Here is a 14,466-nt window from a genome sequence, read left to right on the forward strand (position 1 = left end):
TTGTAAAGGTGAGTAGGCCTCTCAGCCCACCAGCTAAAAGAAAAGGAATCTAGTATTCCCCCAGGCTTCCTGGGAAAGCTGTCCTCTTCCTGGAGGGAAGGAAGAGTACAGCAGGGTCCTGGGAAAGTGAAGAAAGTGACTAGCCCTCCAGTCTAGAGGGGGGAGTGAAAAAGGGGTGGATGAATAGAGGTTGTTGCCAGTTTGGGAGATTCCTGCCTGTCTTGGCTGAGGAAGTCTTTTGGCTGGTGGAAAAACCTGGCTTGATGTGGCCCCAGGGAAGTGAGTTGGATTGGGCGGAGACTGCTTGATGTGGGAAGCAGAGCAGAGCTTTTTTTTTTTCTTCTTTGAGAGTTTTTAACTCTATTTGAACCATACACTTGACACCACCACCACCTCGAGCCACTTTTTAAAAAATGTATTCGCTTCCCATTCTGCACCAGCCTCCATATCCCTGTTTGTGGAAAGAAAAATCAGAGGCACTGACCAATGATCATCTGAGAGCAGGTTGTGGGGGTCATAGGAGGTAACAATCTAGAAAGAGGCAGGAGATGAGGGAGGGGATTGAAATAGTTTAGTACCCGGATTTGTTTATTTTTTAGAGCCAATGCTTTTCTTTTTACTATGACTCTTCCCATCCCACATTGTTCCTCAAAGGCCCTTCTACCATAAGGATTCAAAAAATTGCCGCCCTCCCCCCGAATCCCCATATACCCACCAACACTTCACCCACCCATCCACCACCAGCTCCTGGGAGCTGCTACGCAGCTGGCTGGGAAAGAAAAGGGAGAGTGCTCCGCCGGGAGCGGGGAGCGAGTAGGGTGGCGTCTCCAGGGATTTAACCTCCTACCCTCAGTTCCATGACGCCACCCCCTCCCTCCAAAGACTGGGACAGCGCCTCCATTTTTGTTTTGGGGAGGAAGGGCAGGGGCTTGCGGATAGAAGGGGGTCAAAGGAACGGTGATTATCACCTGTGAGGGGAAAGGGGGTGCTGTCCTCCCTCCTTCCCTTTTCCTCAGCCTGCACCCCCTGCAATCCCCCACCTTTCGGGGTCTCCCCCTCCTTGTTGCTAAGGCCCGGACCGTCATCCCAGCAACAGCCTCAGTCATGTGACCGGCAATGGCGGCGCTGACGAGAGGTAGGTGAGCCCGGCGCCCCCCACACCCACCGCGCGCCCCCCGGGCCCCGCTCGCACCCCTCACGCGCCCCCCGCTCCCCCGGCGCCCCCTCCTCCACCTCCCCTCCCCGCGCGCGGCTCCGGGCTCCCCGCTCCGTGCCCGGCCGATCATCTTTCTAGCACCCTCCAGCCTTGGCCTCCATTCGGGGGTTCTGAGGGCTGCGATCGGGCCGACATGCACCCCCACCCGGCGGTGGGGATCCGGGGGCTTTGGCTACTGAGGGATGTGGGGAGTTGGTTCCGGGTCGGGTCTTGGAGGAGGCCGTGGGGGGAGGGCGGGAGCTGCTTCAGTGGATGCCCCCAGGGACCCTTGCCCATCCGGGCTGTGCCTCCCTCTGGCCTCTGTCTGGAGGGAGAGACTGGTTCCTTGTCCGGCCTGGGTTGCCACAGAGGAATCACAGACCCACCCTAAACTGGGGCCCCGCCTCCCTTTTCTGTGCCAGCAGGACTTGGACCTAGGACACCTAGGTCCTGGGTCCCCCGTGATGGGGAGAGAAGTGTTGCATCGCGGATAGACTGTATGGGCTGAGACTCTAGGGTTCCATTTTCACTTATGAATCTCGAGGTGCATCTGGCCTTGGGGGACGATGATGGAGGCATGAAGGGACAGCTGCTCCTTCTTGGATCAGTCAATAAATGGAGGTCACACTAATGGCCCTTCTTTCTGTTTGAGCTGCATTTGGAAGTGTTGTGGAGACAGCCCCGTAGCCCAATGCGACCAGACTCAGGGAAAACATCAGGCCCCTCCAGCTGAGCCCTTGTGTGAGCCCCGCCCCTCCCTAAATGCCAGACTTGGGAGCTGACAGACAGCACTGCCTGTGCTGGGTTTAAAAGGTGACAATGAGAACTTTGTTATTGCAGGGGCTGCTGCCACTTTGTTCACATCCTTAACAGACTTCAGCAGAAGGGACTGAGTTAGCTCTCAAGGAAGGCTCCCTGGCAATAGGGGCTGAATTATTTGGCAATGTGGAGCAGGCGAGGAGTTGGGGAGCATAGGAAATATTCCGGTCCATGTGATCTGAGGGAGGTGGCAAGAAGACCTCCACCTGTGTGGGCGTTTTCTTTCCTGACTTCTCTTATGTGTGCCCTAGGCTTTCTTGGGGGCCTCAGAGCTGGGGAAGAAAGGAGGAAGGTTAGCATGTTGAAGTTCCTTCTTGAGCAACTTGGGGAGAAGCTGATAATGGAATTCTGCAGAGAAGAGAGGAGATGGAAGGGGAGTTTTTATTTCTGGGTTGGCTGAGGGGAATGGTAACATTTGCCATCATAACTTTTTACCCTTCCCCCACTCCCAGTCCTGGTCAGCTGAGTGGAAATAGAAGGATTTCTGCTGCCATCATCTTCCATGGGCTTTCCAGGTATCTCCCCCGCAAGGGATCCTCAATTTTCACCCTTAAACTGGTTTCCTTCATTCCATGTTCCAAGTAATGCCATTCTTAGTAACCTATACCCAGGTTTCTGTCTCTGTTCCATGGGCTGCTGGGTTGGGGGCCATGGGAATTGGGAGAAGGGGTTTCTCACTTTCCTTCCATTTTTCCGCCCTACCAGGTCACACGACCTACAAGTAGGGAGCAGGGAAAGAAGAGTGAGCCTGCATGCCAATTCTAAGCTCTTCAGGATCAAAGTAAGCAAAAAGGAGGGGCAAAGAGTCTCCCTCCCCTTTAAACAGCCCATTTTTCCCCAAGAGGTGGGAGGGGCAAGTTGTTTCTATGATCTGGGAGAAATGACAGGAGAAACAAGACTGATACTTGGCTTAGATGATAATATAGCTCTGGAAACTTTTTTGCTCTTCAGTGGGTTTTGGGTTTGGAAGATAAGGGGAGACAGAATATGAATTTGGGTGAAGGGTTGGGGATTAGGCTTTGAGAAAACAGAGGTAATAGAGGGTTTGGAAGGAACCTGAAGTAGGAGGCACTGATACTTGTCAAATGGGGACCCCCCACCCTGAGTCCCTTTCACCCTGGGGGCAGTGTCGTTCGTCCTGTCCAGAATGGCAGCCTGTGGAGGCACCTGCAAGAACAAAGTGACTGTGTCCAAGCCCGTGTGGGACTTCCTGAGCAAAGAGACCCCAGCCCGGCTGGCCCGGCTTCGGGAGGAGCACCGTGTGTCCATCCTCATAGATGGCGAGACTTCTGACATCTATGTTCTCCAGCTTTCCCCACAGGGTCCTCCCCCGGCCCCTCCAAATGGGCTCTACCTAGCCCGGAAGGCTCTCAAGGGGCTGCTAAAAGAGGCAGAGAAAGAGCTGAAGAAAGCTCAGAGGCAGGGGGAGCTGATGGGCTGCCTGGCTCTGGGGGGTGGAGGGGAGCACCCTGAGATGCACCGCGCAGGCCCACCCCCTCTCCGAGCAGCCCCACTTCTGCCCCCAGGAGCTCGGGGGCTCCCCCCTCCTCCTCCCCCCCTGCCCCCACCTCTTCCTCCTCGCCTTCGGGAGGAGGCAGAAGAGCAGGAGAGCACCTGCCCCATCTGTCTGGGGGAGATCCAGAATGCCAAGACATTGGAGAAGTGCCGGCATTCATTCTGCGAGGGCTGCATCACCCGGGCTCTGCAGGTGAAAAAGGCCTGCCCCATGTGCGGCCGCTTCTATGGGCAGCTGGTGGGCAACCAGCCCCAGAATGGGCGGATGCTGGTCTCTAAGGACGCCACCCTCCTACTGCCCAGCTATGAGAAGTACGGCACCATTGTCATCCAGTACGTCTTCCCGCCCGGTGTCCAGGGGGTAAGAAGACCATGGCCTGCCCTTACCCTTTGGCTTTCCCCAAGCTCTGACCTAGGAAAACCGGGTGAGGGTGAGTGTGCTTGTTAGATGTGAGACAGTCTTGCTGTCTTCCACTGTGCCCTCCTACTCAGTGCCCTGGACCTAGGAGGTCCCCGTGAGGCCCAGCCTTTCCATCCCTGTGATCCCAAGGCACACGTGAAAATCAGATATGAGCTAGGAAAAAAAAAAGCAAATCAGATATGAGAGGAAGGAATTGCATATTATTTCCTTGATGAACACAAATACTGTGCTGACATCTTGGCAGAGGTAAATTCTGTGGAGGTGGTGGCTTAGGGGAAGGGAGGCACAATAGGAAGGGATCTGACCAACCCAACAGAGCCAGGAGCATCACTCTGTAAAAACAGGAGTAGTCAAGGCCTATAGGTGTCTTCCTGCTGGACAAAGAGTAATGTGCAATTCTGGCTGCAGAGGGGTGAAGAAGCTGCACAGAAGAGTGATGGAAAATGGAACAAGTTAGACAGTGGCAGAAACATTAGGAGTATTTTCAGGTGAAGGGAAGGCTGAAAGATAGATTATTCTGTCTTCACATTTTTGCTGAGTTGTCTGGAGTGTAGGGACCAGCTAACTTCCATCACTTCTGAGAATCCATTTGTTGCTGAATGGAGACTTGAGGGATTGAGACAGCAGAAAAAATCTCTTAACACATAAGGATTATGCTCTGAAACAGGCTCTTGCTGCCGAGGCCGTATAATCTCTCCTTCTGTGGAAAGCTGTCAGCCTGTTGCTGCCCCGTTCGCATTAGCTGGGGGTGCTCAGACAGAGACTAGCCTGGATGACCCTCCTCTGGCATCTGGGCCTTAGGATGCCTGGCTGCTCACTGCCCACTCTGCTTCACCTTCCTCCCAGGCTGAACACCCAAACCCAGGAGTTCGGTATCCTGGCACCACACGGGTGGCCTACCTCCCGGACTGCCCTGAGGGCAACAAGGTGCTGACCCTGTTCCGCAAGGCGTTTGACCAGCGTCTCACCTTCACTATCGGCACGTCCATGACCACAGGGAGACCGAATGTCATCACCTGGAACGACATCCACCACAAGACCAGCTGCACAGGGGGACCCCAGCTGTGCGACCCCTCTTCATTTCCTTTCCCTTGGCTCCTCCCCTTTGTTCCATTTCCACTGAGGGACCCACCAACCCCTCGCTCACGGAGCCTCCTAACTGGAGAGAACCACTTCCAAACTGTTCAGCCATCTCAGTTTCTCCTACATTCAACCTGGTCCTGGTGTGCCCAGCTTAGCCTACAAAAATAAGCAGAACTGGGCTAAATTATCTTGGATTTGGAGGTGTCCTCCCTTAGGGGAGGTGGGGAGGTGTCTGAGCCACCTAGAATGAGGGTGAGCATGGGGATAATAGCAAGTTCAAACAGCTAACAACCCTCACCCTCATTTCTCTTTGCTCCCAGGTTTGGGTACCCAGACCCCACCTACCTGACCCGGGTGCAAGAGGAGCTGAGAGCGAAGGGTATCACAGATGACTGAAGGACATCGCCTTTGCCAAGGCCCCTGCTGTCTGCCTCTACTAGGACCCAGCAGAAGCCTCTTTCTCCTCTCTGCCCCCTGCCCCCCACACCACACCTGTAGGGGACCTGTCTGACTGGGAAGGGAGTTCCGAGAGGGAGGGGGCAATCCCTTCCCCCATCCCCCACTGGCCAAGTGTTTCAATGCAGTGTGAGCCACTCCCTTCTGGCAGAGGCCGACCTCCAAGGCTCTGTTCTCCCCTCCCCGTGTACATATACTCCCGGTTTCCCTGCCCCTCCATTGCCCTTGGCTTTTTCTGGTATGTGCTGTGCTCCACGACCAAGCCGAGAAAGGACCTAGGGTGGGGAAGGGAGGGTCTCTTGATTCCTAACCGCCCCCACATACTGCTCCACCGCTGAACTTCGGGTGCCGGGGAGGAGAAATTGGGCTGATGTGAGCTCCCCGTCACCCGCCATGGAGCCGGCTGTGTGTGTTCATCAGATACAGTTCTCCCTTAACCTTGTCCTTTCTCTCCTGTGTCTCAGTCTCCGTCAGTCTGTCTTTCTCCGCTCTTCTCTGACCCCTGTGAGGAACCTCCTTACCCTGTTCTGGAATCGCTGCCAGACTGTAGCTTTTAATTTAATAAAAATAAAGTAAAATATGCAACTCTTTATGCCACACCCGTTCTTTTCCAGGGACTGGGTGGGGGTGGGGTGGGGAGAGGGACCTGCTGGAAAGGGGAGAGGGGATGATGGGGTGATCCCTGCGTGCACTCCCAGTCCCTCTGCCTCCTGAGGACCTGGGGAAACGGGATGCACCAGCGGGCTCTGTAGTAACACTGAGAAACCCTGGGTCACTTCGATGTTGGAATTAGTATTAAGAGGGTGTTTTTTTGTTGTTCAACTATGGTTGTAGAGAAAACAACCCTAGCCACTCTGCGAAGTTTGGCTGGGGTGGGAGTGGGGGCGGAGCCGGGCAGGGGGCGGATTCCGCAGCAGCAACTCCCCGGACGCGCGCAGGCCTCAAAGCCCCCCAGCTTCAGTGCCCCCTCGACCCTGAAACTTGGAGCAGGGTGGGGGTTCAGTATGAAGCCCCCGGACCGCCCCGCCCCTGGCCGCACTGACCGGATACTGGGGGTCATGGGGGGCATGCTGCGCGCATGCGCCCTCCCTGGGCAGGAGGGGGTAAGAATGGGGGCTCGCGGTGGGGTCGGGGGTCTTTCGGGGCCTTCAGGAGGGCTGCACCCACAACTCAACTTATCCGAAAACGAGTTCTGCGGGGCAGTCGCAGGAATACATGAATTCTATTACGAGGGCCATAGCCCCGTTCTGGGCGAGCCTTTTATAACAATGTGGGTTTTGACAGGTAGGAGAAGGGGAAGGGGGAGGTCAGGGCTGCCTAGGAGGGCAGGTTCCTTACAGTGGTTCTGTCCCCGCAGCCCCCAAGGAGAAGCCCTCTAGGGTTGGTGGGTACCGAGCCAGAGTCTGAACGTACGGAGGGAGATCACAGAAGGGATCGCGAACATGAGGTCCTCGCCGGGGCTCTGCAGCCCGGTAAGAAGCTGGGGGTGGGGTGGGGCACAGTTTGCTATCCTGCGCCAAGTGGCGAATTCAAAAATATTCTATTCTTATTAGCATAAAGTTCGCATCTAATTTGCATGAGACCCATTTAATCGCAGAGACCTCCACTCTTCTTGCCTTCGAGTCCAATGTGTGTCCCCCATCCCAGTCGATCCCGAGCCCTCGCAGGCAGAGTGTCCCCGCGCCCCACCCCTGGCCCCTCGCCAGCCCGGGCTCCAGGACTTCGCCTTAATTGGCGATTAGTCTTAGCTGGAGTCCCGGGGCCTGGAGGAAAGAAGGGTCCTGAGAGAGGGCGGCATCTGGGTTGTGTTCACCCACAAAAGACTCCCCATACACGCACCCCGTACCAGGGGGCCTCTGTCCACTCGGCCGGGGACAGCCCCAAACCCAGAACATCTTCGCACAGGCCAAGGCCCCATCCACTGAGTCCTCCTTCATCGCAGAGGCCAAGGGGAGACCTGGGCAGACCCTGCAGACAGGCTGAACCCCGACCCCAGCGCTCCGCAGAGCCCGGGATGCGAGAGGGAGGGGGACCCCGGGGCAGGGGAGCACGGGCTGGGGAGGGGAAAAAGCGCTGGGGACGTGGAGTGGGAACGTGGTGGTGTCTGGGGGAGGGGCGATCGGGGCGGGAACCCGGCGCAGGCAGGAGGGGGAACGCGATGGAGAGGGCGGAGCTGGGCCGCAGAGGCCCCGCCTCGTGGCGGCCCCGCGGCCAGGCCTGTTATTCAGCTCTCCGCTCCGCTGGGACCCGCACAGCGCCAGTGGCTCGGGGGTCGGCCCTCGCCTCCTCCCCGGCCCGGGCCTAGAGCCACCCCTAACCAGAGGCCGGAGACAGCTGGAGCGGCTGCCGCATCCCGGCCCAGCCTCCCCTACCATCCCTCCCCCTTCCACTGGACATCTGGACCCTAGGCCCCCGCACCGACAGGGTTCCGGAAACCCTCCCCGCCCAGCCCGGCGGCCGGGCCCCGCGCCTCTCTCTCTCTAGAGCCCCCAGCCCTCCTCAAGACTAGACTTCCGCCTACCCCTGGACACCTCCTCCCGGTCCCCTCCCTCCCCCCCTCCCACAGCCTGGACCGGGGTAGGAGGGAGGGGGGGTGTGCGCCCGGCGCCGTCCCCGCCCCGCCCCCCGTGATTCCCCCTGCATGGCCGGCCCGGGTGGGGGGCGCGGGGGGGCCCGGGCGCCATGCGGGGGGGGCACAAAGGGGGTCGCTGTGCCTGTCCCCGTGTGATCCGAAAAGTGCTGGCAAAATGCGGCTGCTGCTTCGCCCGGGGGGGACGTGGTGAGTGCCAGGTCGAGAGGGTCCAGTGTTGAGTGGGGGGCGGGCTGGGGGTTCAGGGCATCTGTTTGCCCTGGCCCTTGGGATTTAGGGTTGGAGACTGTATGTGTTTTCCAGGAAAGTGGTTTCTTAAGTGATCCCTAAGGTCCCTTCTGCCTCCAAATTTCTGTTAGTTCAAGTTAAGGAAATAGGGGAAGGGGCAGGGAACTCATCTCTTTCCCTTTGTCAAATGGGTTTGAGAAAAACCCACCCACAATCCCCTTAGGCCTAGAACCGATTATTTTCCTCAAACCTTTTGCTAAGAATCTACTTCTGAAGAGGGACAGGAGAATGGAGGAATGAGAATGAGGTGGTTCTACAAGGGGCTTTATAAGGAATCACAGCTCTCTGTCGCTGAGCACAGGCCAACGATAACCCTGATGGACCCTCCTCACTGGCCTCCTCTATTGGGTCTACGCATGTGTTGGGGAGGTGGGCTGCAGAAGTCTTTTCTTTTTATAGTGATTACTGCAATTGGTGGAGGAGGGGACTGGGAGTGGCAGATGGACCCAGCTCATCCTCCCCTCTTCCCAGAGAATGGTCTGTACCCATTGAAAGAGGGAGGGTTGTAGGAGAGCAGATGGCCACCCCCAGCTTCCAATGTCTGCCCAGATGGCTGCCCCCACCCCCATATCTATGCTATGCTCAGGATATGGGGAACCTCCACATGTAACTGGGGGTTCCAGGCCTGGAGAGCCAGGCGTTTACCTTACTGTGCTTTCTCCCAGGGGTGCCCTGGTGAAATTTTCTATCCTGGCCAACTCAAATGAGGATGGCAAGAGAGTGAGCCCTTGGAGAGAGAGGCTGAGCATCATGAAGAGAAGACCCTGGGAGTTCCCTGGGGACCCTGAGTCTGGAGCTGGGGCAAGGTCTATCACCTCCTCTCTTTTTCCTCCCATTAGAATCCTATTCCATTGCGGGCAGTGAGGGGAGTATATCGGCTTCTGCTGCCTCCGGTCTGGCTGCCCCCTCTGGCCCCAGCTCTGGCCTCAGCTCTGGCCCCTGTTCCCCAGGCCCCCCAGGGCCCGTCAGTGGCCTGAGGAGATGGTTGGATCATTCCAAACATTGTCTCAGTGTGGAAACTGAGGCAGACAGTGGTCAGGCAGGACCATATGAGGTGAGCAGGGAACGGCACCAAAGCATGTGGGACATCTATGAAGGACACTGGCAGAGAGGGCAAGTTGGGGCCACCCAGCTACTGTCCCCGACCTCTGACACTTGATTTCTGGCCCCCAGAACTGGATGTTGGAGCCAGCTCTAGCCACAGGAGAGGAGCTGCCGGAACTGACCTTGCTGACCACACTGTTGGAGGGCCCTGGAGATAAGACGCAGGTGTGAGGACAGGCTCTGGGGAGGCTCCTTTCACTCAAGGGGCATTCGTTTGCTCACCCTAGGATGTTCTTTCCTTCCAGCCACCTGAAGAGGAGACTTTGTCCCAAGCCCCTGAGAGTGAGGAGGAACAGAAGAAGAAGGCTCTGGAAAGGAGTATGTAAGTGTCCACAGCCCTTCCCTGCAGTTGCACAACTTCCAGAAGACTGTCCCTCACATTTTAGATGGAATTTCCTCCAAGGTTGGCTATGATGATAAAGGGGAGGAGGGAGGAACGGGCTGAACCAAGGATGAGCTCCGACGCTGAAGTGGGGGCCTCCTCCTGCTTTCATCCTAGGTATGTCCTGAGTGAACTGGTAGAAACAGAGAAAATGTACGTGGACGACTTGGGGCAGATTGTGGAGGTAGCTCCCTTTACCCCTTCCCAGCCCCTCCTGCCTGCTTTTCCATCTGCCCAGGGCTATTTTCAGGAGGTGCCTGGGCGCTCCTCTGTCCCACCTCTCAAGCCTCCCCACTCCTGGACCTTCCTACTCTGGGGGCAGGGCGGCTCCCACCAGGGAGGGGGAGGTGGAACACACCCTGGATTTGTGTACAGGAGCACCATTAAGGTGGGGAGAGGGCCACCACATGCTCATGACCCAACCTCAACTTTCCCACAGGGTTATATGGCCACCATGGCTGCTCAGGGGGTCCCCGAGAGTCTTCGAGGCCGTGACAGGATTGTGTTTGGGAATATCCAGCAAATCTATGAGTGGCACCGAGAGTGAGTGGTGGAACTCTGACAGCTAGGTGCTGGAGAGGGGCCCTCATCTGGTTGTCCTGTATCCTAACATCAGCCCATTGCGACTTAAGGAATGTTTGGAGAAGTTTTGTAGGGCACACTACCAGGGCAGACAGCTCGAAACTGCTGGGAGTGGGCGAGGTGGGGGTTGTGAAATGTATTTGACCTGCTGCTTCTCTACCAACCCCTCCAGCTATTTCTTGCAAGAGCTACAACGGTGTCTGAAAGATCCTGATTGGCTGGCTCAGCTATTCATCAAACACGTGAGGCTTGAGGGGGCAGGGCCTGGGGCGGGGCTTAGGAATGGGCTGGGATTCTCTGGAGATGCGTCCTCCCTCCTTGCCCACCCTGCTCTCTCTTAAACATTACCCCTGTTAGGAGCGCCGGCTGCATATGTATGTGGTGTACTGTCAGAATAAGCCCAAGTCAGAGCATGTGGTGTCAGAGTTTGGGGACAGCTACTTTGAGGTCAGTAGCTGAGATGTCTTGGTGGGAAGGAGGACAGAACTGGGGCTTTCCAGGCTGCATAACCACCCTGTCCCTGTCCCCAGGAGCTCCGGCAGCAGCTGGGGCACCGCCTGCAGCTGAACGACCTCCTCATCAAACCTGTGCAGCGGATCATGAAATACCAGCTGCTGCTCAAGGTCAGGACCCCCTTTTTCCTGGGGGCACAGCTGGCTGGCACAGCTGTTTCCTCATTCATCTCCCCAGGGTTCTTAGGGCTCCCCCAGACTTCCTGAGGGCCCTCACTGGTGTCCTCAGGGGAGGATGTGAGAGCTTCTAAGGGTGTCCTCGTGACCTCCCTGAGCATTTCTTCTCTCTGTCTTAGGATTTTCTCAAGTATTACAATAGAGCTGGGATGGATACTGCAGACCTAGAGGTGAGGACCCCAGATCTTCCAGGACACACCATGTGCTCCTTATCCTCCTAGTATCTCATGGGTTCCCCCAGCCCCTTGGGTGGTTTACAGCTGTCTGGTTTTTAGGGGGAGGCTGGTTGGGGTTGAGATACCGTCTGAAGAGGCAACTGGCCGAGGAGGCCTCTTTCCCAATAATGACTCTCTTCGCCCAACAATGCGCCTCCCTCACCTGTGTCCCAGCAAGCTGTGGAGGTCATGTGCTTTGTGCCCAAGCGCTGCAACGATATGATGACGCTGGGGAGATTGCGGGGATTTGAGGTACGGAGATAGGGCAAGAAACTGGAGGCCCGATGCTCTTCTGCCCCAGCCCTAGCATTCAGGAGGTCCTTATGGGGAGTTGTCTTCTCCTGGGGCTGACCCCATGGTTGGTTGGGCATGTCAGGCGAGGAAGGGAGGAGCAGAGAATTGTCCTTTTTCTTGTTCTTTTTCCAAGGCCACTATCCTTTTGGTTTCAGGGCAAACTGACTGCTCAGGGGAAGCTCTTGGGCCAGGACACTTTCTGGGTCACCGAGCCTGAGGCTGGAGGGCTGCTGTCTTCCCGAGGTCGAGAGAGGCGCGTCTTCCTCTTTGAGCAAATCATCATCTTCAGTGAAGCCCTGGGAGGAGGAGTGAGAGGTGGAACACAGCCTGGATATGTATACAAGAACAGCATTAAGGTGGGGAGAAGGCCACGAGGGAGGGCTTGGAGAGAGAGAGGGCATGAGGCCTCTGAGAGGATGTCTCAGAGGAGCCAGGGAGGGCCTGAGGAATCTGGGGGCTGTCTCCTATCTGCCAATTCAGGTGAGCTGCCTGGGACTGGAGGGGAACCTCCAAGGTGACCCTTGCCGCTTTGCACTGACCTCCAGAGGGCCAGAGGGTGGGATCCAGCGCTATGTCCTGCAGGCTGCAGACCCTGCTATCAGTCAGGCCTGGATCAAGCATGTGGCTCAGATCTTGGAGAGCCAACGGGACTTCCTCAACGGTGAAGCTCTCATCCTTTCTTCCCGATGTGCTCTCTCAGCCCCTTAACCTCCTGAATCCCTCACTGCCCAGTCTCCAGTACCTACCCTCTGACCATGGCCCATCCCCTTTTCCACTGCTAGCTCAAAATTTGATAGAATCCCCTAAAGCCCTAAGCAATTGACATTGGCTGACAGGGAGGGAGGGCAAAGTGGGAGAATGATACAGGCCCTAGGGAGCAGACCTGTCTCTGCGGTAACCCTCCTTCTGTTCCTCTCTTTGCTCCAGCATTGCAGTCACCCATTGAGTACCAGAGACGGGAGAGCCAGACCAACAGCCTGGGGCGGCCAAGAGGGCCTGGAGTGGGGAGCCCTGGAAGAATTCAGCTTGGAGATCAGGCCCAGGGCAGCACACACACACCCATCAATGGCTCTCTCCCCTCTCTGCTGCTGTCACCCAAAGGGGAGGTGGCCAGAGCCCTCTTGCCACTGGATAAACAGGTATGACGAATAGAGCTCCCTCATTGTAGGGATAAAAAGGGGAGAGCCTCTCTTGTTCTGGGACCCCAAGTTCCCTCCCCATATCATTCCTTCCTTTTATCTGGTCCTTCCTACTTCCCATCCCTTACGCTTCTCCCCTCTATTTTAACTCTGGAGAAGCTGATAGTCTCAGACAGTCTAAGATATCTAGCAAGAGGAGGTGGCTTGGCTAGGGACTTAAACTGAAAAGAGAGAAGTGAGGGTAGATTTCTGGCCTTTTTGATCCTCTGACTTGAATCTTTTCTTCAGGCCCTTGGTGACATCCCCCAGGCTCCCCATGACTCTCCTCCAGTCTCTCCAACTCCAAAAACCCCTCCCTGCCAAGCCAGACTTGCCAAGCTGGATGAAGATGAGCTGTAACTGGTGAAAACCATGGGGGTGGTGCTGACTCAGCCGCCTATTCCCCAAGGAGCTTCAGGGCAGTCCTTCTGGCACTGCTCCAGAATTCCTCCTTCTTGGTGTGTCTGGAGGGTGGGCAAGGCTGGGAGGGATATCAACTTGGAGGAGAACACCTAGACCCAAGGACTTTTTTCTGCCCAAGGAACACAGTTTCCTTCAGCTCCCATCCCTATGCATGCATCATGGTCCCCCCAAAAGGAGGATATGTGGGTGGGTGGGAGGGCTGGGGCAGGGGCCAGATAGAAATTATTGGTTTTGTTTTTTAATTTTGTTTTTCCTGTTTTCTGAGAATAAAGGTTTTGTTATATCACCGAGGCTGCTGTCTTGGCAGAGGGAAGGGGAGGCTGTAGTGGGGGTAGGTGGGGTGAAGTGATATGGAAGAGATCGGTTGGCCCCAGCCATTGGAGGAGGGGGTCTGGTGAAAGGAGAAGGGGACAGGGTGTAAGATAAAAGATGTTGCTATCTTTGTCCCTCAACTGCAGTTGCAGCAGTTGAGGGACAAAGACTGAGGCATGGAACCACTGGAAAGCCCTTAGATTCTTCTTCTTCCCTTTTTTTTTTTGTAGAGTTAGGGTCTCACTATGTAGCCCAGGGTCTTGAACTCCTGGGCTCAAGTGATCCACCAGTCTTGCCCTCCCAAAGTGCTGGGATTGCAGCCATGAGCCGTTGCATCTGGCCAGCCCTAGATTCTTGATGTATCCTCTTTACCCAGCCCTTCTTTTTCCCTACCCACCCTCTGGTCTAGACCCCACCAGAAAGCCCAATGCAGTGTGACTTCTCACCATTCCCCCAACACCCAGATACGAAAGCACAAAATGCCAATGTACCTTTCCTTCTGAGGCTACCATGTTCAGCTGAGGGAGGATGGGAAGGTGGAGAGGATCCTGGGGGCTGAGACCTTTTCCTGGCTCTGGGTCTCCTTATCTTTGCTCTCTGCGAGGTCATAAGCCATGTTCATAGTGAGCAGAAGGGGATTCTTCTTCAAGCCATGGACCCAAGAGCGGACAGCCCAAGGGGATCTTCACCCCTCCCAACTTCTGGGAGAGCCGCTGGAACAGAGCGAGCCAAACATTCACACAGCCATGTCCAGATGCCCTGTCCTGGGTCCTTAATGCATCTCCGAGTCCACTGTATCCATTCGTCCCTTGGGCTCAGTCACGTGCACTTGGGCTTCCTCAACAGACAATAGACTGCTGGGGTGGGAGGGTGAGGAGGAGACCTGGAGCCTCCCTGTGGGCCCGAGGTCCCTTTAGCCG

At 56.3% G+C, this 14,466-nt stretch overlaps 2 protein-coding genes across 19 annotated transcripts, besides 3 other annotated features; both read left to right on the plus strand.

Annotated features, from left to right (window-relative positions):
• Positions 471-982: an enhancer, noted in NCBI's record as "H3K27ac-H3K4me1 hESC enhancer chr12:57997977-57998488 (GRCh37/hg19 assembly coordinates)". NCBI's record gives its function as "activates a minimal SCP1, AML or CMV promoter by ChIP-STARR-seq in primed H9 embryonic stem cells {active_cell/tissue: H9 hESC(primed)}" and the evidence as "EXISTENCE:reporter gene assay evidence [ECO:0000049][PMID:30033119]".
• Positions 983-1,495: an enhancer, noted in NCBI's record as "H3K27ac-H3K4me1 hESC enhancer chr12:57998489-57999001 (GRCh37/hg19 assembly coordinates)". NCBI's record gives its function as "activates a minimal SCP1, AML or CMV promoter by ChIP-STARR-seq in primed H9 embryonic stem cells {active_cell/tissue: H9 hESC(primed)}" and the evidence as "EXISTENCE:reporter gene assay evidence [ECO:0000049][PMID:30033119]".
• DTX3 (deltex E3 ubiquitin ligase 3) lies at positions 1,101-6,079 on the plus strand. 15 transcript variants are annotated; one of them, XM_024448876.2, is made up of 7 exons: positions 1,101-1,135; positions 1,621-2,008; positions 2,467-2,529; positions 2,720-2,795; positions 3,142-3,890; positions 4,797-5,014; positions 5,354-6,079. In XM_024448876.2, coding segments are annotated over exons 4-7 (1,044 nt in total). In that variant the 5' UTR covers positions 1,101-1,135; positions 1,621-2,008; positions 2,467-2,529; positions 2,720-2,794; the 3' UTR covers positions 5,430-6,079. The 15 variants fall into 15 exon arrangements, with proteins under 15 accessions (XP_024304644.1, XP_005268754.1, NP_848597.1 ...); XM_005268697.2 differs by having other exon boundaries at positions 3,161-3,890; NM_178502.4 differs by having other exon boundaries at positions 1,848-2,008.
• On the plus strand, positions 6,393-13,522 carry ARHGEF25 (Rho guanine nucleotide exchange factor 25). 4 transcript variants are annotated; one of them, NM_001111270.3, is made up of 16 exons: positions 6,393-6,592; positions 6,847-6,961; positions 9,207-9,421; positions 9,541-9,636; positions 9,717-9,793; positions 9,971-10,037; positions 10,293-10,396; positions 10,608-10,677; positions 10,793-10,882; positions 10,966-11,058; positions 11,244-11,294; positions 11,514-11,591; positions 11,789-11,989; positions 12,114-12,294; positions 12,561-12,772; positions 13,061-13,522. In NM_001111270.3, exons 1-16 carry the CDS (start codon positions 6,494-6,496, stop codon positions 13,169-13,171), a joined length of 1,860 nt encoding a protein of 619 aa, NP_001104740.2. In that variant the 5' UTR covers positions 6,393-6,493; the 3' UTR covers positions 13,172-13,522. The 4 variants fall into 4 exon arrangements, 3 of the variants coding, with proteins under 3 accessions (NP_001104740.2, NP_891992.3, NP_001334862.2); NR_046223.2 differs by lacking the exons at positions 6,393-6,592; positions 6,847-6,961 and adding exons at positions 7,712-8,268; positions 9,033-9,173 and having other exon boundaries at positions 9,318-9,421; NM_182947.4 differs by lacking the exons at positions 6,393-6,592; positions 6,847-6,961 and adding an exon at positions 7,712-8,268.
• Positions 7,605-8,124: a silencer, noted in NCBI's record as "silent region_4586". NCBI's record gives its function as "represses an Ori minimal core promoter by ATAC-STARR-seq in GM12878 lymphoblastoid cells {active_cell/tissue: GM12878}" and the evidence as "EXISTENCE:reporter gene assay evidence [ECO:0000049][PMID:35858748]".

The sequence above is a fragment of the Homo sapiens genome, chromosome 12, assembly GCF_000001405.40.
Source record: "Homo sapiens chromosome 12, GRCh38.p14 Primary Assembly".
Classification (NCBI taxonomy): domain Eukaryota; kingdom Metazoa; phylum Chordata; class Mammalia; order Primates; family Hominidae; genus Homo; species Homo sapiens.